Source organism: Homo sapiens, chromosome 12 (genome assembly GCF_000001405.40).
Source record: "Homo sapiens chromosome 12, GRCh38.p14 Primary Assembly".
Lineage (NCBI taxonomy): Eukaryota > Metazoa > Chordata > Mammalia > Primates > Hominidae > Homo > Homo sapiens.
The window spans coordinates 127,391,032-127,416,642 of record NC_000012.12 but is presented as its reverse complement, the minus strand read 5'-3'; the positions used below and the strand labels follow the sequence as shown (position 1 = coordinate 127,416,642).

The following is a 25,611-nucleotide window of genomic DNA, read 5'->3' as shown; positions in this document are numbered from 1 at the left end:
AAAATATATATTTTTAAAAGTTGTCATGTGAAAATATGATAATAGATTGCAGCAAAACAATGAAAGAACAGTATTATAAACGCGCATCAGGTAGTTCTGTTACGGGAAAGGGATCTCGATCCAGACCCCAAGAGAAGGTTCTTGGATCTCACGCAAGAAAGAATTCAGGATGAATCCAGAGAGTAAGGTGAAAGCACATTCATTAAGAAAGTATAGTGGTGAAAGAACAGCTGCTCCGTAGCCAGAGTGGGGCATTCCTGAAAGTAAGGGGAGGAATGCATTCACCCTGGGTACAATACCCATTTACATAGGATAAAAAAGATTGTGGGGAGAGTGCTCTGCTACAAGGATTTGTGGTAAAGGATTGATCTTCTTAATTACTATATTTTGCAAGAATCAATATTATTATCTTTAAAGAAAAATTAGGAATGCATCTGTTCTCAAGATATTGGGATATCAGGACACTCCTAAGTCTGGGTCTGTTTAATAACTTTATCAATCTGTTTCCTTAACCGTAAACATCTAGAGGCTGGGAACACCTCACTTCCTGCAAATCCAGCTCAGCAAGCCCCAGCCTCATTTTCCAGCCCTCACTCAAGATAGAGTTGCCCTGGTTCGAACGCGTCTGAAAGTTCACTGAAAATACTGCACTGTTAGTTTTCTAAAACTTGTAAACTGTTGTGACTTCTTTTTCAATTGTAAATAACAGTTTTGGGCCTATGGGTGTGTTAGCATTTTTGCATTGTTTTGCTTTTTAAAAGAGCTCTTACCAACTGGGGAAGTGCTTTAACCCCCAGAGCCTGGGTCTTCCCTGTTCCTGGCTGTGTGTCCTGTTTGCAAGCTGAGCTCATGGGTAAAATGAGGTTTAGAGGGAGGATGAGAGGGAGTTCCCAGCTGAGAATCCCAGAGAACATCTCCTGTGGGAACCTCCTTTCTGAAGGTTCTCAGGGAAGCAGAGGTCAGTGGAATCAGCCACCAGGGTGAGGGATGAAACAGTCTGTCACCTCACATTTTATTTTCCTAATTTTTTTCCCACTTCATTCTTTAGTGATGGAGCAATGTCTAGTGTGGGGAGGTGAGATGTGCATAGAACAATCTTATTTAATTTGTTTCATGAAATGTACTGTCTGCTTAAGCTTAATAAAGTCAAATTTCTGAAAAGCAGGCTCATTAAAACTTCCATAGTAATAGATGAATTTAATTACTTTGACTTAAAAGAAGGAGTACGTTTCTAGGTGGCAAATGAAGAGAATCCGGTCTCATACACTTACACTTATCTGTTTCTGTTATGGAAATTAAGAGCATTAGACAACTAACAGCAGACCAATGCATATAAACCAGAGTTGTTGCCAGGAAAAATATAGTTAGAAGACTATTAACATTTTTTCTCCTTTTTTTTCCCTCCAGTATTATGGAATAAATAAGTTAAAAGAGCCTTATCCTTCAAAGTAATTAAAATTCAGAATTACCTTTTTTGTTTCAGAAGTGTCTGATTTGATTACTTTTTTAATGTACGTAAGTCTCTGAATATTTAGAATCTTGACTCCCACTTTCCCTCCTTTTCATTCTCACCCTCCCCCATCCCATTCACTCTACTGCTAACCTTGACTACTGCTAACCTTGACTACTGCTAACCTTGACTACTGCTAACCTTGACTGCCAATGCTGACTCCCTGCTGGTTCATAGGAATCACTCTGGCCAAAGATCATCCTCCAGGCTTCTCTCTGCTTCCAGCCTTTCTCCCTCCCTGGGACACAGGTGCGGCTCACAGCCAGGTGCATCTGCCCCTTGTCTGCCTCACAGAGCATCTACATAATGCATGGTCCAAAGTCCAGTCTTTGTGTCACTCAGGCTTTCCACACTAGAGGCACTAAACCCAGTTTCACTATGAGCCGTATCTCAGTGGCATCTCTAGCCAGTATTCAAGATAGGACAAAAAGAAATAGAAAAGAAAGTTGTAAAGAAAAGTCCCAAGTTAGTGTCATTTTGAAAATGAGGCTGGATGCAAACCCAGACACCAAGGGTCAGTGCCTCACTCGTGGGCTCACTGATGTGTTCATGGGTTAGAATAAGCACATGGTTTGGCTCCCTTGACACTTCTGAAGTGTACATTCTTCTCTGGGAGTCACTGTTCCCTGCTTCAGTAATCCTGTCTCCCCTGCACTTCCACAAGCGCTCATCCTCACAGAGATCAGGCTCAGGGGAGGAAGACCCCCCTGGCTGGCTGCACCTAAATTACACAGGAGCCTCCCCTCGACCTGGCCAGCCCTGGTTAAGCCGGAGGTTGCACCTTGACAGCTTTCCTTGCGCACCTGGGACAGCCAGGACCTGGCCAGTGCCCACGTGGCTGTGCCCCAGCAACTGTGTTGACGTCCCCTGCTTGCAGCAAGGATGGAGAACATCATAGTGCCCCAGGGGCTCAATCATTCCGGCCTCTATGCTGCATTCACTTCCGGGTCTTGGCCAAGCAGAACATCTCTCTGTTATTCCTCCATCTACTGGAAACATTGGCATCTATCACATTTAGTTGGGACATATTGGTTACCTCAATTATGTATGAGCTTCCTGAGGGTTGCAACCAAGTCTAAGTGATCTTCATCTCTATCACACCAAGCCCAGCACTGGCACGTGGCATAAATTAATAAATCTGTCAAATTAAATGATGTTATTTCAATTTACCGAAAATGTACCCTAAGGCCCCATTTTAGAGTCCTGTGAAGTTACCATATAGTTTTGTCAACCAGACAATAAGCCTGGGTCAGTTAATGGCCTGGGTCTGTTCTCTGGAATAGTCTTGGAAGATGAATTTTGGCACTAACTCTAGTGACGTTAGCAGGTTGACTTGCACCAGCGTCCTCACACAGCTACTCCATGGCTCCTCGTGCCACGCCGCTTACTGCAAATGGAACTTCTTTAAGCCTCTCTTTCCTCCAGCACTAATTCTAATAACCAACAACGATACTATCACAGGCCTGTTAACTCTCATGCTTTTTTTTTCTACTAGTTTCCAAGTAAAAGCTCCACTTGCCATTCACTCTAAGTGTTGGGAAGAAAATTAAAATTGATGAGAACAGAAATGAGTAAGTATGTGTGAGTGTGTATGTGCGGTTATGTGTGAGTCGGTGTGAGTTTTGGGGGGAGTGTTGCAGGGTTAAAGAGGTAAAGAGAACTGGAATATGACTCTGGAAAGGGTGTGGCTTCTCCAATGTATGAGACCTGTTTGGCTTAGAAAAAAATATTTGCTTAACAAGGAGCAGGTAAAGAAAGCATGGGTGTAAAATAAGGTATGATGCCTGCTTTATTGTAGTGTATTATTATACTGTATGATATTATTATTGTCTTATTCTATTAATGTGTTAAGAGTGTTAGTATATTATTGTTTTGTGCATTGGTTATAAGTAAGGATTGTGTGTTAGAATATTAGGGAGTAAATCTTGGCCCTGTCATTTGCTGGCAGTGAGATCTTGGGTACGTTCAAATAGCTTCACCAAGAAATGTATTTTTCAATGGTAATTAGAACACGGTGATTAGTCTTACGTCACTCTCCTGCTGAGTTCAGAATTTCTAGCCTGAAGGAATATAAGCTCTATATGCATCTTGCTATCGAGCTCCAATGCATTGAAAATTTGACATCAGAGGCATCAATGGCTATGGAAATTACTCTTGAAATCCCACAGGAGTGTTATTTTTCCTTTGAATAATAATGCCATTGAAATGTGAAATTTTCAGTGTTACAAAAGCCCCTTCAACTGTTCTGTTTTTCTGTGTCAGATCAGTGGTGTGAATGGAATTATTTTGTCTCATATGATTTGATAGTTTCATTGATTATAAGGTTTTTATTTGTTGTTTTTTTGTTTGTTTCTTGAATGGCCTTCTCCCAGCTGAAGTTATGAGGACTGTAGATTGAGAGGAAAGCAAATGATCTGAAGACCCTCAAGAATGAAAGCAATCCTGAGTAGCATTGTTCTCTCTCCCTTTGGTGCGGCTGTAAATAGGTTTTTAATTCAGTTTAAATTTGTATTTTGTGTTGAAACCTCAGGAAGCCTAAACTCCATCACCTGAGGATGCTGAGGGAACTACATTTTTGTCTTCTTGGGACTAGAAATCCTTAGTCTCTTTGTTAGTGGAGATAACTTGTCAGACATGAGCAGGGGAAGGGAGGGGAACCGCCACCCCTAGGAATGTCAGGAGACCATCAGGTGATGGCCAGGCAGTTGTTACACCTGTATCTCTAAAATAATAATCGGTCACAGCTGGTGCCAGGGAATGGCAGTCTCCCAATAGATAGAAAACCCGGAAACATGATCAGCAGCTTCCCAGTGAGATCTCAGGAGCTGGAAGAGTGAGCTTGAGCATGCACACTAGGAGGCAAAATGGCGGCAGTTAACCGGTATGACCTTCCTCTAGGGACACCAGTAAGGGAAAAACACCTACAGTGAGCATGCGCACAACTTGAGAAAAGACACTGTGCAGGCGGCCCCTCTCAAGTGCTAGCAAGCCTCGGTGCACGCGGACAGTCCTTAGAGAGACAGTGTAACAACCGCCTGACCATCACCTGATGGGCGCCTGACATTCCTGGGGTGATGGCGCCCTCCCTTCCCCTGTTCATGTCTGACTAGCTTCCTAGTGTAACAAACAGACTAAGGCTTTCTAGCCCCAAGGGAAGAATCAGGGGAAAAGAGATGGAGACCCCAGGAGCATGACAAGGCAAAAAGCCCCAAGCCAAAGGTCAAACGGTGCACTTGATCCTTCAAGTCACCCACTTGACCCTCTTCCAAGTGTACTTCTTTTCATCCCTGCTCTAAAGCTTTTTAATAAACTTTCACTCCTGCTCTAAAGCTTGCCTCGATCTCTCACTCTGCCATATGCCCCTCGGGCAAATTCTTTCTTCATTCTGCTAGAATTGAGGTTGCTGTGGAGCCGCATGGATTTGTGGCTGCTAACACACTTTGGTGCTGCGTGACTCAGATATGTTTCCCAGAGCTAACATGTTCTCCACCTTTTACTTTTAAATACTCTTTATCAGATATGTTATGATCCTGTTATTCAATAACCTTGATGGATTGTAGATTTCTTACAACAGGTACATCACCCTTCACAGAAAATGGGAAAATGATTCTTTTTCTCTTAGATTCAAAAACTAATGCTGCCTTTGATCATAGAGAGGAGGGAAGTAGGATTCTAGGCCACTGGGCGTAACACAGAATGGCTGATCAGAAAGGAATTCACAGGGATATTTAAACTACTGGACTCTCATGAGTCCAGGTCATTAATGAGAGACATTGTTGCAATTCTCAAATCTGAGATGTTCTACAGAGTCTAATGAGATATGGATGGATTTCCCGGGGCAGCTTCCTCCAAAGTGTGACTCAGGGGACTGAGCTCTTCTGTCTGAGGGCTGTGCCATCCAGAATCTGTGCTTGCCAGCATGCTATCTTGAAGGTGCTAGAAAAAGGCTGGAAAATTTCACAGAATTCTTTCAAAAGAAGGCCTGGAAGTAGCTTATATTAACTTTACCCACATTTAACTAGTCAGTATACAGAGTCATGGTCCCAGTGAAACTTCAAGGGGTTCTGGGGAAAATGGTCTTCCTATGGCCTAGGAAGAAGAAGATGTATTATTGTCTTGACATGCTTGCCAGCAAGTGCGGCCGTTTTCTGCCTCCATGCTTTGATTTTGTTCTTGCCGCGCTCTCATTAAGTGCTTCTTTTCTGTCTCCCTATGTATTTTTTAAGCCAAACTCAAGTTTTTCTCTGAATACCTATTGAGCTTGAGTTCGTAACTGTAATATGTATCATTTGATCTAGGTGTTCTCCTGTATTATGTTCGAACCATTTTTTATGACTTGTTTATGTTTCTTCCATTGTTAGCTCCTCAACATGATCTCAAAGTGGTTTGCTTGAGAAGTTTTTCATTTGTCCACAAGTGGCTGATCAGTGCTTAAAGAGTTAAGGACAGTCTCTATTTAAGCTTCTAATTTATGAAAAAACTCCTCATTATGTAGGAATAAAAGGAAGCTGTATTAATTTGAAGCAATATCTACTAGAAACATAATCACCATACCTAATAAGAGATCAAAGTTAGGAACAAGAAAAGAAAAACTATTCTGGCATTTCACTGAATATCTAGCCAAAGAAATAATACATGGAAAAGACTTGAGTTTTATGGTCTGTGTATCATTTAGCTTTTGCTCCATAACAAACCACCCCAAACATAGATGCCTAGAGGAACAAATATCTATTTAGCATGTCATTGTGTGGGTCTGCAATTTTGGCTGGACTCAGTTGGACTTTCTCTTTGCTGGACACAGCGGCACTCACTCATGCCACGGCCTGGACAGCTGCTTGACAGTTGATTGATTATTCTTTTAAGCTATTAAGTTTTTGGATGATTGAATAAAGAACAAAACCTAACTAATAGAGATTCGAAGAAAAAAGAGTAAGTGGGCATTATTTGCAGATGATATTCTAGTCTACCATAAAAATCTGATATTGAGATCAGGCTGAATTGGAGAAATGCAGCTGAATCACACTTAAGAAATGAATTTTATTTATACTTATCAGTAAATGTTTGTCACTTGTTGGTGCTGACAGCCTTTTCCCCTAATATAATGCATTTGTGACTATCAGTACCATTTGTACCTCCAATCCCTGTGATTTTCTTTCCATTCACCTAAATAGATTTTCTCTTACCCTAATCTGAGATAACCAAGTGATAAATTCAGGGAAGGGTGAGATAGTTAAATCTTCACGGAACCTGAGAATTCATATAGTTGGCACCCTGGCTAAGAGAGGTTAAATGACTAAGCAAAAATCACAGAGATAATGAATAGCAAACGTATATGTTATTGCTATAAATATTGTACTGCAGGGTCAGAAACTGAGTTCAATGCTTCTGTCATACCATGTGCAGTATTTCATGACTTGTTTCCATTCAAAGGCAGAGGGGCCAGCCAGAATACTCTTAGAAGGAGGAGCACTGATGTGTGAGGTAAATCAATTCTGGTGCCTTCTTATGGGAGAATCCCCCAATACATTTCTATGCATTTTTGGTAATTAGTTATGCTAAATGTTATATGCAACTCAGAAAGTCTTAAAAACAGCACTGATGGTGTATTGTGTTGTTATTTGTAGGACTCTGTTTAAGACATAAGATCATATTTAAAAAATAATCAGTATGTGCTAAAGAAAGCAATTATTCACATGCAAAAGAATGTAACTGAACTGCTACTTCACACCTAATACAATAATTAACTTAAAACTCATCAACAGTACAAATACAAGAGCTAAAACTGTACAACTCTTAGAAGAAAATATAGGAGTAAATATTTATGACTTGGATTTAGAAATTAGTTATTGGATATGACACCCAAAACACAAGCAGTAACAGTAAAATAGATGTTAGATTTTACGTTTCTACATCAATGTACACTATAAAAACATTGAAAAGACAACCTACAGAATAGAAAAAAATATTTTCAAATCATATGTTGCATAAGGGTCCAGAATCCATATTATATAAAGGACTCTAACAATTCAACAACAACAACAAAAGGCAAACAATCCTATTTTTAAAACTGTGTAAAGGACTTGAATTGACATTCATCCAAAGATACACAAGTGGCCAACAAGCATATGAAAAAAAGATATTTACAATCATTAGTCAGTAGGAAAATGCAAATCAAAACCACAATAAGATACCATTTTATACCCACTATGATGGTTATAACAAAAAATAAGGAAAATAGCAGGTGTTATATATTCTTTAAATATAGCAAATAGGACTGTAAAAAATGCAGCCAATGTGGAAATCAGTTTGATAGTTTCTTAAAAATTTAAACATAAAATTGTTATGTGATCCACGACTCCAGTTCTAGGTATACATGCAAAATAACTGAAAACAAGTTCAGAAACAAACACTCATGCATGAATAGTCATAGCAGCACTATTTGTAATAGCTACTGTAGAAACAACCTAAATGTCTATCAACCAGTGAATGGAAAAATACAATATGGTATATCATGCAACATAATACTATTTACCTACAAAAAGAACTGAATACTGTACATGCAACAATGTGGTTCAACCTTGGAAATGCTATGCTATGGAAAAGAAGACACAGAAGGTCACATAGTTTTGATCTTATTTATATGAAATATTCTGAATAGGTAAATCCATAGAGACAGTAAACTGATTTGTGGCTGCTAGCAGCTCCAAGAAGAGAGGAATGGGGAGTTACCGCTGAATGGGTAGAGTTTTCTTTTGGGGGTGATGACAATGTTTTCATACTAGATAAAGGTGGGTTGTGAAACAATCAGAATGAGCTAAATGCCACCAAAAAGTTAATATTATGTTATGTGCTTTCCACCTTAATTTTTTAAAATAGAAAGAAAACATAGATGAAAATCTCCATAAACCTGGATTAGGTAATGATTTCTTAGCTATGACAACAAACAATCAACAAAACAAAACACTAGATAAACTGCATATCATCAAATTAAAAATTCTGTGCTTAAAAAAGACATCATTGAAGCTAAAGAGAGATCATGTGGGATTTTTCTTTCTGTGCCTGGCTTATTTCACTTAGCATAATGTCCTCTAGGTTCATCAATGTTGTTACAAATATTATAATTTCCTTTAAAAAATACTAAATAGTATCTCATTGTGTATATATTGTACTGTCTTTATCCATTCATTCACTGATGCACACTTAGGTTGATTCCAAATCTCACTAATATGTGAAATCTAAAAAGTTGAACCCGTAGAAGTTGAGAGTAGCATGGTAGTTACTGGGGGCTGGGATGGGGAGTTGGGGAGATGTTGGTCAACGGGTAAAAAAATTTGGTTAAACAGAAGTCATATGTTCAAGAGATCTATTGTACAACATGGCAACTATAGTTAATAACAATGTATTGTATTCGTGAAAATCAGAGAGTAGATTTTGTATTCTAGCCACAAAAAGTTAAGTATGTGGTATATTATGTTGGGGTTGTTTTCAGCACAGATTGATTCTGCTAAGAATAACAAATGCCTCCCTTTATTTTATTTTATTTTTTTCCTTGAGTCAGGGCTTCACTCCTGTCACCCATGCTGGAATGCAATGGCGTGATCTCAGCTCACTGCAACCTCTGCCTCCCAGGCTCAAGAGATTCTCCTGCCTCAGCCACCAGAGTAGCTAGGACTACAGGCACATGCCACTGCACCCAGCTCTATTTTTTTTTTTTTTTTTTTTTTTTTTTTTTTTTTTTTGCAGAGATAGAGCTTCCTCATGTTGCCCAGGCTGGTCTGAAACTTCTGAGCTCAAGTGATTTACCCGCCTCGGCTTCCCAAAGTGCTGGGATTACAGGTGTGAGCCACGGCACCCAGCCCCTTTATTATTAATAGTAATTAAAATGTTAGCAATGATGGGTTGAGCTCATTGTGACAAATACGTATATTTTATCTACCTACTTTACATTATCTGATTAAAACCTCACAATCCCTAGGTGATATAGTTATTGTTATTCTAATTTACGGAGATGAAAACAGAGGTATGAAGAGGTTAATCCAAGGTCAAACTATCACTAAGTGACAGAAAAGGAATTCAAACCCAAGGCTCTCAAGCCTCCAAGGTCTTAATTCAGCTATCATTAATGTTTGCTCAGTAGGCCAGTGGTAGTTGTAAAATAGACACAAACATTATTTCGATAATCCTCCATTCAAAAAATAGAGCTTCATTTTCTTTCTCTTGCAGGTGGGCAGCACTTAGTGATCAGTCCCAGATAATACTGTATGGTAGAAGTGTTGGTTGTTTCCAAGCCAGGAAGAGAGGCCTGGAACAGATGGTTCCCTCACGTCCCTCAGGAGGAACCAGCCCTGCCGACACCTTGATCTTGCACTTCTGGCCTCCAGACCTGTGAAACTATGCATTTCTGTTAACTCACCCAGTCTGCAGTACTTTGTTATAGCAGCCCTAGCAAACTAATAAAGACCGGGCTAGGGCTCTGCAGCCAGCAACGTTCACTGTTGCAGCTGGTATCTGGAAAGTCCCTCACCTTGCTGGGTTGTTGTGAGGTTGGATGGAACAGGCCTGTGTCACTGGTGCCTGACTCTTTAGGCTGACGGCTGGGTCATGGAACTATCTGCAGATGGACTGTGGGAAATGGTTCGTTCACCCTCTGTCTCCTATTTTTAACTCCACTGTGAGTTTGTGTAGGTATTTGTGTGTATGTGAGTGTGTGTGTACACATGTGGGAGTGTGTGGATGTGTGTGCTCGGTTTGTGTGTACATGAGTACATGTGAGTGCACGAGTGCGTGCTCATGCAGAGTGCATTTTTAAGTGTGCACATATATGTGCACATGAGCTCCTGTGTGTGTAGGTCTATGTGTATAGAGACGAGTGCATGCCTGCAGTCAGTGTGTGTGCACATGAGTGCATGCATGCAGGAGTGTATGTGTGCCTGAACATGTCTGTAGAGCATGGGCACTTGAACTTGGTAAACTTATTACCATCTGAGTGCCTTTGCCCTTGCTGTCTTCCTAGTCTGGACCATTGATTCTTGTCCTCTCTTGATGAGATCTCAAATGTTACTTCCCCAGAGACATTTTCTTTCACCACTCTACTTAAATTATCACTCTCACCATCACTTTACCTTGTTTTACCTTCATCTCTGCATACCTCTGCAGCAGTCAGTATAGGCTAGTTCACTCTGTGATGGCAAATGCCCCAGTGGATTTAAAGAACAGAGATTTTTCTCTTACTATGGATCTGTTGAGGCCAGTTGAAAGGCTCTGATCAGTGTGGTAGCTCCGATGGCTGAAGAGGCAGGGTCATCCCCTTCATGAGCTGGGCTGGAACTAAAGCAGAGAGAGATTTGAGAAGTTTTGCGCCCGCAATAAAATGCTCTTGCCTGGAAGGGAGACACAAAACTCTGGCTCATAGAGCATTGTTCAGAACTCGTCATTTGCCTTCACCCAACCACACATGGGCCAAGAGTTCCATCTTATCCTTTGGGAAGTTGGACGGCCCAAAATTTAGGAGAAAGCACAAATGGCTACCACATCCATTGTTTAATAACTGTCTCATTTATTTTTTTGTGTGCTGTCTCATCTCACTAGAAAATAAGCTCCAGGGCCGGGGCCCTGTAATCCCAGCACTTTGGGAGGCCGAGGCAGGCAGATCATGAGGTCAGGAGTTTGAGACCAGCCTGACCAACATAGTGAAACCCCATCTCTACTAAAAATACAAAAAAAAAAAAAAATTAGCCAGGCATGGTGGCGGGCACCTGTAATCCCAGCTACTTGGGAGCTTGAGGCAAGGAGAATTGGTTGAACCTGGGAGGCAGAGGTTGCAGTGAGCTGAGATTGTGCCATTGCCCTCCAGCACAGGTGACAGTGTGAGACTCCGTCTCAATAAAAAAAGAAAAAAAAAAAGGAAAAAAAATAAGCTCCAGGGGAGGAGGAATCCCATCTAACTTGCTGATCACTGTCTCTGCGCTGAGAACAGAGCTTGGCACACGGTAACTGCAAGGAAACTATGTATCAAATGCTGTAATGAATGTTAAAAAAACATTTAATTAATGTTTTAATGTTTTAATGAATGAGTTATATCCAAAACATGGAACCCCAATGAGAAGTGTACATTCACAGTATTTTGAAGAATTTGAGACTGTAGATTATTGTGTCTCTAGTTTTCCCTTATATCTTCACTGGTGCACTAAACTGCATTTTATGGAGATTCCTAACTTTGAATGTTCTGTTTCTCTATGGAGTTCACGCTCATCAGACCACATGTCTTGAATCAAGGTTCAGAAAATTCTGTCCTCACACTCCCAGCACCTCTAATTAGGATGAGTAAGTCGACCTGGATCAAAGAAAAGGAACACATTATCACCTTAGGACTAAATAGTGTTTTCAAGGAATTGGCTTTGTGGATCCTGATCTTGCAGGTTCAGAGCTGAAGACACAATCTCCTGCCTTCATTTGGACACTGGAAGCACCACCAGGCTATGCTTTGTTCCCAGCATGGTTCTGACTCTCCTTAGTGGCCATGGGTTGAGGGGGAGGATGATAGTTATGTCAAAGATCAGTCTCTCAGAATGTCCACCGTATCACCCCAGAGCCCTTCATTAGTGCACGGTCAGGAGAACCAAGCTGGTTCAGATTTCACTTTTCATTCTATCTTTTTAGGTCAATTCGTCGTTTTTATCCTCCAAGGGACTGACCTGGTGCTTACCACTTCCAGATGTCATCATTATCCAGACTTCATTTCCATTTCCTTAGAAGGCTCTTACGATTCCATTTCGAAGGCTCTTACGATTCCATTTCGAAGGCTCTTACGATTCCATTTCGAAGGCTCTTAACGATTCCATTTCGAAGGCTCTTACGATTCCATTTCTTACACTGAGGTTTCTGAGTTCAGTTGAAACGACCCGGGCCTTGGGCAAATTCACAGGTACCAGCACCTGAACTCTACATGAATCTGTCTTCCCTTTCCTGGAACCCAGAGAAATGGCCACTCCGGTAATGCACATAATACTCATTTCCTATCCTGGGCCATCTTATTTTTGTATTCTTCCCCTGGACTTAAGCACACTTTGCAAGACAAAACATAATTTTTTAAAATATAATTTTCCATTTTTTATACACAAATCTGGCTCATACTTGCTCAGTGAGACAAAATAAATTCATAATCAACAGACTATCGATAAGAGCACATTTCCATGAAAACTTCAGGAGTGCTTGAGTAGATCTAATTAACAAAGAAATTAGAGAAGTCACATGTACTCAAACCTTTTAACTGTGGTTGACTTAAGATCTAGTTACTTTAGAGTAATAGGCCTATAAGAAAGCTTGTGAGGCTGTTGTAATTAATATAATGGGCCAAGTAGGGGATGCGATGAAATCATAGAGTTTTAATTAATTGGACTCAGGGAAATGCATGTTTCTTGAAGGAGACCTTCTCACTTGGGCAGATTTATACACTTTTGGATTTCAGGAGCCTATACAATTTTTTTTTGTCCATTGAATTTCTACCCACTTGAGAAGTATTGAACAACCATCAGATAAATAGACAGGTATGAAAATAACGTGACTGTCAATGTTATGTTTATCAGATAAATGTCTGATTTTTTAACTGAAATGTCATTTAACATATCAATGTACTTTTGGGCTTCTCTTAACAATTCTACTAAAAATGAGGATTGATGAGAATGAAGGTCCTGTTTGGGCTCATCTTAAAATGTCTCAGAATACTTTCACATTTTAGGTGTTCAAGGAAAGTGGATTGAACTGTTTTTTTCCTATGGATCATTTGGGTTTTTTTCTTGGCTAATGTTTTCTTTCTATCTCTGCTGATCTTGCTTTTATTTTTTTAATTTGCTTTTGTGCTGTTAAAATAATCACATGTGGTATTGTGTCTTGTTTTGAGGTTCCATGATCATTAGTGATGACTGACTCAAAGGCAGATGCCTTTGTTGGAGAAAGCGAATAGTCACAGTCATTTTGAATCTTCTTGAAATCCCCCTTAGGTATCACAGAGTCCATGGAAACAGGAGCTGCCTTTAAGACTTTAACACTGGTGAGGCTTCTTCTGCTAATGGCTGGGTGAATCTTTTCAGATTAATGCTTTCAATTAGAAACTATATATAAAACAACAACTAACTGAAGGCAGTGGAGTGTACACAAAAGACTGAAATCAGCATTTGGAATTACAAAGAACTTTGAAAAAACAGCACAAAACCTCAGAAAAAATAAAAATTATAGAATCATACAAACTGATTTCAAAGCTTACTTTCAAAGATTACTTGACAGTAATCAAAATAGTGTGGTTTTGGCATAAGCATATAGAAATAAGGCTGGGCGTGGTGGCTTACGTCTGTAATCCCAACACTTTGGGAGGCTGAGGCGGATGGATCACCTGAGGTCAGGGGTTTGAGACCAGCCTGATCAACATGGTGAAACCTTGTTTCTACTAAAAATGCAAAAATTAGTTGGGTGTTGTGGTGGGCGCCTATAATCCCAGCTACTCAGGAGGCTGAGGCAGGAGAACTGCTTGAACCCGGGAAGCAGAGATTGCAGTGATCTGAGATTGTGCCACTGCACTCCAGCCTGGGCAACAAAGCAAGACTCTGTCTCAAAAAAAAAAAAAAAAAAAAAGAAAGGATATACAAATAGATCAATGGAACAGAATTAAGAGGCTAGAAATGTATGCATATATATATATATATATATATATATATATACATACATATATACATATATGATCAACTCATTTTCAAAGTCATGACAAGCTAAAGATGAAGAGAAAATATCTGCAAGGTCTATATCTGATAAAAGATATATATGCAGACTATATAGTCCAATGATAAGAAGTACTTATAATGCAATGATAAGGAAATAAACGACCAATTTTAAAAGTGATCAAAATCTTAGAAGAGTACTATAGCAAAGAAGATATACGCATAATTCATAAGCACATGAGAAGATGGTTGATATAATTGGTCAGTAGAGAAATGAATTAAAACCACAATGAGATACTGCTTCACACCGATTAGGTGGTTCAGATGAACAAGACTGACAATTCCAAGCGCTATCCAGGATTTGGGAGCAACGAGACTGCTTATGTATTGCTGATGGGAATGCAAAATTGTTGAAAAGCACTTTGAAAACAGTTGTGCAATTTCTTACACAGTTAAACGTGCCCTTAAAACAAGACCCAACACTTTTACTCATAGGTGTTAAAGCAAACTAAATATGGCCCAAGAAAGGCTCTGTACTTCTTTATTTGAGTCTTTGTGGATGAACTGCAACCTAACTTAATAGGTAGACAAGGTTGAAAACCGAACTTAGCAGTATGTGCCTGTACAATTGTTGAGTCTCGGCCAATCCCAGCAGCCATACTTCAACCAGTCATACACTGCTGAGTGTTCAAACTGTGTTCAAATAAGACAAATGCTGAGCTGTAACCAATCCAGCTGTTTTGGTACCTCACTTCCGATTTCTGTACATCACTTTACTTTTTTATTTTTTTCAAGAATTTTGTTCTGACCACGAGGCACCCCTGGAATCTCTCCAAATCTGCTATGATTTGGGGGCTGTCTGATTCGTGAATCTTTCATTGCTCAATTAAAAACCTTTAAATTTAATTCAGCTGAAGTTTTTCTTTTAACACAGCTGTTAACTAAAACTGTATGCTAACACTATGTTCACACAAAGACTTGAACATAAATGTTATTGCAGCCTTATTCACTACAGCCCCAAACTAGAAAAAACCCAAATGTCTAGGAAGTGAAAAGTGGATAAATAAATTGTGATTTATCCCCACAATGGAATGCCAATCAACACTAAAAAGGAATATATAATAGATGAAAGTGCGTGATTGAATCTAAAAAGAATTATGCTATTTGAAAATGCCAAACCAATGACTACATACTTTATGATCTCATTTATGAACAATTCTTGAAATGCCAAAACTATGAGAGAAAGCATGTTAGTGATTGTTGGGGTTGGGAGGGATGCAGAGGATATTGAATACGATGGAGCAGAGGAGAATGTTTTGGGGTAATGGGAAAATTCTATAGCTTGATAATGATGGCTGTTACATGACTGTATATATATTTGTCAACTTTCATTGATATGTATAGGTAAAATGGGTGAATTTTATTGTACATAGACTTTAGCTAATATGGCTGATTAAAAACAATAAATTTCAATGTGACTAAAATAATCAACTTTGCACAGCATAAGTGTTACATTCAGTCGCTCTCAGCACAGACATCTGTAATCCCAGCTGTTCGGGAGGCTGAGGCAGGAGAATTGCTTGAACCCGGGAGGCGGAGGTTGCAGTGAGCCGAGATTGTGCAACTAAGTGAGACTCTCTAAAAAAAAAAGAAAGAAGAAAAAAAGATATACAAATAGATCAATGAAACAGAATTAAGAGGCTAGAAATATATGCATATGCATATATATGTATATATGATCAACTTATTTTCAGTCATGACAAGCTAAAGATGACAAGAAAATATCTGCAAAGTCTATATCTGATAAAAGTGAATCCTGGTGCTCTCCTTCACAGCGGTGTGAGCCACCTCTGCCAGGGCCTCCTTGTGCTTTCATCACGAATGCCGTTCACCACTTACCTTCTAGGCATGTGGGGAATTATCCTTGCTGGCCCTGGGGTCAGATGGAAACATGGGACTGCTTACAACCTCACTTCCAGGCCAGTCATTCCATTGTCACACAAGAAAACAACCAAAGCTCTCATACCACAAAGATCACATGTTCCAGATGCAAAGCTGGGTCCATAACGTGAAGCATTTGTGTAAAGACAGGCAAAGCCTCAGACTTGGTGTTTGTAGAAGCATCGAATGAATAACTCTGGAAGGCTAACAAGACAATGGATAGCAACTTTGGCTGAGGAGCTGAGAGGCAGCAATGGGAGAATAAGTTTTCAGTTATCCTTTATGATTTTTAATTTTGAATCATTGGAATAGATAATTTATTCAGAACATTGACATTGTATTATACAAATCAAAATATACATTTTCCAGCAGGATACTCAGGCAAACATGAAAACCCATGGATGTTTGTCTCCCAAAATCTTTACCCAGGGCCCATCGAAGAGTTAAGAAGATCCAATAGCCCTTCTACTGTGCACTGTGCACTGGCAAACACCACATTATTTTTTAAGTCACCCAAACCAAGATTTTTTTCTAGTTTAGAGAGATTTAAATAGAAATTAATTCATTAAGTCATTTTACATTTTATTAAGGGTAATACTAAGAAGAAACAAAAAGACGGACTATTCCTAAAAGTTGCATTTAGGAAGTTAGTTTAAGATGTTCCGGAGCCATCATTTCCTGGAAGGGCTTGAGATATTGGGAGAAAGAAACAGGCAAAGAAAAAAATAATTACACCAATTGTCTTAGCTGTCCCCAGGCTTGTCAGGATGCTGCTGATAAAAACCAGCTAAGCTGGAAGTGAGTGTGAATTGTTAACTTGAGAAATAGCTGTGGATTTGGCAGCTGCGAAAGTGGAGGTGCCCAAAGTATTTGCTCATTATTAAGATTTATCGTTTCCAATTCTGGGAAAGTGTTGGCTAAGCAAAATAAGGCCATTCATACCAGTCTGCAAGGTATATTTTACTTTAAAAATAATAAAATGAGAAGAAAAAGGAGGATGAGGAGAAGGTAGGATTATCTCCTGTGATTTGGAAGTGGGGTAATGAGTTAGCTGAATTGTTAGAAATGGAGTAAAGAGTCAAATAGGACATTTCTTAGAGTGTTTATACTGCAAAAATGTATTTAAAATTGAAATAACAACAGCAGAATTGACCAACTCAGAGATTTTGGTACAAAGTTTCAATGAAGAAAACAGGCCAGTTTGTAGAAAAGTTAGAAAATAATAAATATACAAATGCCTTATGTACCCAACACCCAGCTTTATCAACTCTTAATATTTTGATGTATTTCCTTTGGCATTAAGAAAATATTACAGATAAAATTGGAAGTCTTATGTGCCTTCCTGATTTCATTCTTTTTATCCATTTCCCAAGACTGATGATGGATTTTATGTATCAACTTGACTATGATGAGGGATTCCTAGACAGCTGGTAAAACATTACTCTGGGTATATCAGTGAGTGTTTCCTTAAGAGATTAACATTTTAATTGATGGATTGAGTAAAGGAGATTTACTCTTACCAACGAGGGCTACAATCGATCCTCTAGCTTTTTGAACATAGGTAATACAGTTGTAACTCTTGAGTGTCGATTCCTAGTAATTATCCATACCGGATATGTACTTCATTGTTTTCATCGACTAGTTTTTCTGTTCATTCAGGGTCATGTTTTTCTTCTTCTTTGAATTCATGGAAATCTTTAGTTGGATGTCAGGTGTTGTGGATTTTACTCCATCGAATGCTGATGTTTTTGTATTCTAATAAATATTCTTGAAATTTGTTCTTGGATGCATTTATGTTACTTGAAAATTTATCCTTTTTTACTATTTCTTTAGGGATTTCTCAAGTGGGACGAGTACTGCGTTTAATCAAGGATTCAATTTTCCCCACTACTGAGACCACAATCTTTTCAACATTCTAGAAAACGGTGGCATAAACACCCTAGGATGGCCCCCAATGAGTCATACCTTTGTGTAAACCTCTCTCCTCCAGTGTGGGCAGAACATGTGTGTGATTTGCTTCTATCTGATACAACACGGCAAAAGCAATGACAGGTCACTCTTGTAATTACATTATGTTATATAGCAAAGGTAAAGGGTTTGTCAGATGTAATTAAAACCTCTTATCAGTTGGCTTTAAATTAAATAAAAGGGAGATTATCCAGTTTGGCCCTGACCCTTTAAGCGACGGTCTTGAGGTCGAAGACTCTATAGCAGCAGTTACTTTCTCTCTGTTTCTGCCTTTGAAGAAGCAAGCTGCTACTCATCCTACAGCCTCGAGGCAATTAATCCTGACACCATGAGAGATCTTGGAAGGAGATCCTTCCTCGTTTGAGCTCTGAGATGGAACACAGCCCAGCCAGTACTTTGATCTCAGCTTTGGGAGACCCTGAGCAGAAGGTTCCCCATCCACAAATTCTATGAGATAGTAAATGTGGTTTGTTTTAACAAACGATGTTTCTGGTAACTTGATACACAGCAGTTGAAAACTAGTGCCATGAGATTTACCTGTCTGATGGATTTTTTCTATTTTATGGAGATTTAAATAGAAATTAATTCATTAAGTCATTTTGAATTTTATCAAGGATAATACTAGGAAGAAACAAAAAGAGGAACAATTCCTAAAAGTTGCATTTAGGAGTATAGTTTAAGATGCTTTTGGAGCCATCATTTCCTGGAAGGGCTTGGGATATTGGGAGAAAGAAACAGGCAAAGAAAAAAATAATTACAGCAATTGTCTTAGCTGTCCCCTGGTCTGAGGTGTGTTCTCTTTAATCGTTCGGGTGGTTCTTTCTCTGTTGTAGGCTAGCTTCTTCGTTCATATATCCACTGGTACTCTCGAATTCACAAGAGGGACCCACTGCTGGTCTCCAGAATTCTCTCCCAGGGCAGTCGTCTCTTATTGAGTGCTCTGTTTTTTGATCAGCTCATCGGTGTTCTCCCTGTACCTTCATCTCTGTCTCGTCAACTCAGTGCCTGCTGGGCATAGTCTGGGTTCCCTTTTCCTAAGCCATAGCCTGGAAACTCCCTCAAAGGGAGATACCAGGGCAACTACACATCTCAGCTCATTGGTTTTCCATCTCTCAAGCAAGGAAGGATCACTTTCCTTCACTGTCTGAAGTCCAATTTCTTGAAATTGATTGTTTTCTATATTGTTTCTGATTTTCTAGAAAATTTGTTTCAGGTAGGAGGGGATATCCGGTCCCTATTATTCCACCTTGGTTAAAAATGGATCAAAATTTTATATTATAATGTCATGTTAAACATAAGCAAAACCAAACAGTAGTGGGTGGGATTCATATTAAACATGTTATTCAATCCAATATAGCCAAAATATTAACATTTCAACACGTAATCAGACTTAAAAATATGAATGAGGTATTTTATACAATTACATTTGCACTAAATCAACCATATCTTCGTGCATTTCACATTTACAGCACATCTCACTGCAGACTAGCCGCATCCCACATGTTAATATCATCTGTGGCCAGGAACTACCTTATTGGCAGCATAGCTCTTGACCTTCAAATACCAATGACTGCCTTTCCTGTCAACCTGAAATATTATTTTCACAGCAAGAGCAGAGAAAGCATAACCGCCCTTGACAAAACGGAAATGAGGATGTGGTGCCTGGATTTTATGCAATTTCAGGAGGAGGTTATTTGCTCATGTCTGATTCTCAGAGCCAGCCATTAGATCCTGATGAAAAAAAAGTTGTGTGAGTGGGAGAGAATTAGATGAAACGACCTCAGGGCCATTGAAGGAATCCGTGAGCGGGAATGTGCCCCGCTCCTCTCCAGGACACCAGTGTTGTTGGAGACTCAGGGAGTGGGAAGGATGTCAGGAGGGGAAACGGGGGTGATGAGGGGACCCCACGCAGTGGGGCTGTGGCAGCTGCCTGTCATCTAGCCCAGTCCTCAAAGCTCAGCCACAGCCCAGCCTCCCCGGGAGCCTTCCCTGGCCTGCCCGCCTACGCAGGTCTGTCTCCTTCACTCACCTGCAGCTCAGGGGCTCTGCTGCACTCGGCACATGCTCCTCTGAGACCTGCTCAAACTGTGTTTAACACTCATTCATTCATTCAGCAGAGTACCTCCTACGTCCCAGGCAGACTTCATTCATTCAGCAGAGTACCTCCTACGTCCCAGGCAGACTTCTACGTTCTGGATATATTAGTGAGCAAAACAGGCAAAAATTCCTGCCTTCAAGGCATTTCATTCTAGTAGAGGAATGGAGACCTTGCGCATAACAATATCTACGTTGATATGTTAGAAGTGAAATGATACAGAAAGAAATAGGGCAAAGAATGCAGGGAGTTAGAATCGCAGAGCTAGAGAGCTCACAGTAAGACTGGCTGCTCAGAGTGTCGCCAGGACGTGACCTTTGAGAAGGCATCTCCTTTTCACTTTATATTCTCTCTTTGTATTCATGCCAGTGAGTTGGGATAATTACTACACTGCCAGGACCACTTTTTTTTCTTAAGTTAGATTTACTCATTTGATCTGTAAACACTTACTGGGGATGTGGCTGGCTTCCACTCATCCTTCAGGTCTCAGCTCAAATATCACCTCCTTATAGAGACAGTCCCTGAACACCCTCTCATGCTCTCCTATTGTAGTTTATATTCTGTGGGTGCAAAAGTAATTGCGGTTTTTGCTATTACAGGTAATTGCAAATTACTTTTGCACCAACCTAATATTCTTTTATAGTTTAATTTATATTATTTATATTATATCTTTATTTTAAATTCAAATTTGATGGTCATATTATTATTTTTATTGATATTATTTTAAATTGACAAATCATTGTACACATTTATGGGGTACAATGTGAGGTTTTGATATATGTATACAATGTGAAATGATTAAATCAAGCTGATTAATACATCCATCAACTCATTTACTCATTTTTTTGTGGTCAGGCTTTGACATTTACTCTTATTTTAAATTATACATTACTATTGCCTGTGGAATCTAAAAAAGTCAAACTCATAGAAGTAGAGAGTAGACAATGGCTATCAAATTTAAATTTGTATTTAACTTTTGAAGCTTTATATTTCAAGATAATTGCAGTTCACAGGTGGTTGTAAGAAATAATACAGAGAGATCCTGTGCAAACTTCACCCAGTTTCCCTCAGTGGCCACAACTGCATAACTATAGCACAGCACTTAAACTAGGACATTGAAATGGACACAATCCATGGACCTTATTAGAATTCCCCACTTTTACCTGCACTTGTGCGTGGTGATTATTCTATGCAGTTTATTCTATGCAATTGTACACATGTGTAGACTCATGTAATCACCCTCATACTCAAGATTCAGAACATTTTCTTTCTCCTTTCATAGCTACAACCACTCCTCTCCCTCCCAGCTTCCTCCCTAACCCTTGGCAAACCCTAATTTTTTCTTCATCCCTATGTTTGTGTCATTTTAAGAATGTTATGTAAGAAGAATCAGATAGTATGAAACCTTTTGAGATGGTCTTTTTTTTTTTTTTCCATTCATTGTAATTCCTTTGAGGTCCATCCAGGATGGTACATGCCTCAATAGGGTGTTTCTTTTTGTTTCTTAGCTTCTCTGGTGCAGATTGTTTAAATATTTAGCCGTAAAGAACATTGGTTTGTTTCTAGTCTGGGACTATTACAAATAAGACTACTCTAATCATTCATGTACAGGTCTATAAGGGATCTACTTTCTTTGCATTCTCCCCAGCATTTGGTATTATTATTATTATTAATTTTTTTTTTTTTTTGAGAAACAGTCTAACTCGGTCACCCCAGCTAGAGTGCAGTGGCATGATCACCACTCACTACAGCCTTGAAATCCTAGACTCCAGCGATCCTCCCACCTCAGCCCCACCAAGTAGCTGGAACTATAGGATGTGCTGCCACACTCAGCTTTTTTTTTATTATTATTATTTTGTGGAGATAAGGTCTTGCTATGTTGTCCAGGCTGATCTCAAACACCTGAGCTCAAGTGGTCCTCTCGCCTCAGCCTCTTAAAATGTTGGCATTATAAGTGTGAGCCACTGCAACTGGCATTTTGTTACTTTTTAATTTTAAGCATAAGTGTGTGTTGGTATCTCATTGTGGTTTTAATTTTCTATTTAACTCTCTAAAAATTAAACTGCTCTGTTGGACTTTTATTATAGCAATTATATTTTACTTGGCATGATTTTATTTATTAATACCTATTAAAGGCAAGGGAGACTTGTCTGTTTTGTTTGCCTCTGAATTCCCATTTTCTGGCATTTAGTAGGTACTCAACAAATAAATAGTACCCTGTAGATAAATATGCCAGTGACTGTGCTAGCCCCTGGGGTGACTAAGCTGTTAATAACAGGCTTGGCCTTTAAAATGCTTACTGCATTATGCAGAGTTTCTTAGCGTTGGCATGACTCACATTTTGGGCCAGAACATTATCGTGGGTGTTGGAGAGATGGCTGTGCTGTGTTATGGGATGTTGAGCAGCATCTCTGGCCTCTACTTGCTAGATACCAGAAGCATCACCCAGTTTGTGATAAACAAATTTGTCTCCAAGTATTGTCCAATGTTCCCTGGGGGTTCAGATGGCTCCCAGTTGGGAACTAATGTTTTATTAAGAGAGATAGATGCGTTTTCCATGAAGCCAAGTGTATATAAATATACTTACCAGCTAGGTGTGAGGATATGGCTCAAGACTCAATCAACTAGTCATTTCTTGTCTCCCAGAATGCAAATTACGTCCCCAGAATGTCACAGAGTATCCTGTCAGATCTTTGAGTATACTCGATGAATTAAACAAACACTGATTAGAGGATTCCTACACTTTGCCAGGCACCATGCCAGCCACTACAGATGGTGCAGGGAGCAATACACACATAATCTAGTCCTCAAGGAGTTATTGTCTACTGGGGGAAGTCAGAGATTGATCAAGTTATCTTAAACATGATGCTCATTGGGAGGCCGAGGCAGATGGATCACCTGAGGTCAGGAGTTCGAGACCAGTCTGGCCAAGGTGGTGAAACCCCATCTTTACTAAAAATACAAACATTAGCCAGGCGTGGTGGCAGGCACCTGTAATCTCAGCTACTCAGGAGGCTGAGGCAGGAGAACTGCTTGAACCCGCGAGCCGAGATCATGCCATTGCACTCCAGGCTGGGTGACAGAGCAAGACTCTGTCTCAAAAATAATAATAATAATTATTATTATTATTATATTATAATTATGATGCTTATTTGGGAAGTGAAGTGAAGTCAAGGGTGCTTTGGGGCTGCTTACCAAAGAGGTGGGCTGGACTGGCCTGAGAGCTGTTATTAAGAAAGATGAAGACTACATAAGTAGAGAAGATGGGATAATGACCTAAATCAGAGGGCTTTGAAGATATTAGCATACAAGGTTTAGTTTAAGATTGGTCAGCCCATGGTTTTCATACTGAATTCCATAAGACCATATAATGCAGGAAAATGCACTGGGGGACCCTATTGGAATAAAGGAAGTGCCAAGAAGGCATAGACACAAGTCTCCTTCCCTAAGATTCAACAGAATAGCCATACTTTTATCTTTTTTACAGTGGAGTTGCATTTTGGTGTGGTGGTGTGCATCCTGTGTTCTAATATTGGCTCATAGGGTACAGATAGCTTAGAAGCAAAATGATCCATGAAAACCTATGCAGGAAAACATGGTGCAGAAGACAGACACATTTATCTGTCCAATTCAGCATCAGTAAGTCCACACAGCCAGCTCTTCCTCAAGGTTGAGCACAGTCCTTGGGTTGAATACCAGGTGGAGCTGGTGTAGGCCTGGGCACCATGCTGCCTACACAATAGACACCATTAGTAGGCTACAGAATAGCCTAGGAGCACACTCAGTGTAGAAAGAGGCTCCCATCCTAAGAAGTGCCTGGATGCTGAGCCTGAGTGAGAAAATGACAGGTCCTCATCTTCCAACCCAGGCTCACTGCAGGACGCTTGCATGTTGAAGGAGACTGAGCCTGCTTTCCCCAGATATCCTCATAATTTATACTCCCTTTTTCCTCCTCCTCTCCCTTAATATTGTATGCTGTATGTGTTTTGGGGGGAGGAGAGAAGAAGCTTGGTGGGTTCCATATAAGTGAAAAAGACAAGGGCTATTCTTAATATTTTAATACACAAGGCGCCCCTAATTATGATAAATTGCAGGCTATTGCACTGTCAAAGAAGTCACCTAACAGAGTTAAAACAAAAGCCATCCAGCACAGGATTGTGAATGACCCGGTTTCCATCACCCTGAATTGAGCTTTACCCCGATCTAAGAAAGGCGATGGCAGAGCAACTGATCCACAATCTTCCTGAGGCTGGAATCACACATGCCAGCTTGCTCCTTCTCTGCCAGTGTGCCCGCCAGGACCAAAGTAGGCTGAGAGATGTTCTATTCACAGGGAAGCTCTTTAAAACTCAGTGCCCAGGGTTTTTACTGTGGGCCAGTCACCTAGGTATCCCCTGCCTAGCGGATTCCAAAATTCCAGACCCCTAGAGAGAAAACGAGTGTTCAGCATGAACCATATTGTTTGCACAAAGAGATTAGGCATAGTGAGGGAATGGTGGGAAGCCTCCTCCTGAAATCTGAGTTCCTGGACATGGGCCAAGCATCAGCTTTGCCAGCAGGCTTTCTAAGGAGGGCATCCTTAGGCCTCCTGCCATTAAGAAGCAGGATAAACAGGTGAATATGTGGGGGAGTTCTTATGACAGGGAGGAGACTCTTGGTCTGAGCATAGTGGGTGGGAAAAGGGGTGACTAAAATCCCTAAGTGAGTGTCCTTTTATGCACACGTGGGAAACAGGGCTTATGGGAAGAAAGCCCTTTTGGAAGAAGGCTGTGTGCTCTAGCTTGAGGGAGAAACAGCCAAGCAGTGTGGCCACTTCACACCTGACCCCTTCTAGCACACACACATTCACACACACACACTCACACCTGCGCTTCTTCACCCCAGCAAAAATGCCTAATGCATATCTCATGGCTGAAACTCTGATAAAAATTCCTCAAAGGCAGTGGTAATTATTAAGTTGAGAGTATCATGAAGCACTTTTCTAAATTGGAAAGGCTTATCAAGAATAGATCGTGAGCAGATGAAATTAATAGCTATGAACAAACTTCCATAGAAATGGACTTATTACCAAGTATGTCTACTCCCCAAAAGTACAAGAAGTCTTTCCTCTGGATTGAGAGAACCAATTCAAAAAAAAAAAAAAAAAAAAAAAAAACAACCCACTTTACATAGAAGTGGCTCTGCCTTACTTGTTATTCCATTCATTGCTGGACTTGGGCAGGTTCCCGCAGCTGGTCCAGTTCACAGGCTGGGAAGTCAGAGAGCAGCAGGACGTGCCCACAGTCAGAGGGGCTGACCCTGTCATGCAGACCTACCCTCTTTGCCCAAAGACTGGCCACTTCTCTTTCTTTACCCCACGACCAGAGTGTGAATTTAACAGGATGAAA

General features: G+C 40.1%; 1 annotated feature.

Moving 5' to 3' along the window:
• Window positions 13,743-13,938: a silencer, noted in NCBI's record as "fragment chr12:127887250-127887445 (GRCh37/hg19 assembly coordinates)". NCBI's record gives its function as "represses an EF-1alpha promoter that drives an FKBP-Casp9 reporter gene in an ReSE screen in HepG2 liver carcinoma cells {active_cell/tissue: HepG2}" and the evidence as "EXISTENCE:reporter gene assay evidence [ECO:0000049][PMID:32094911]".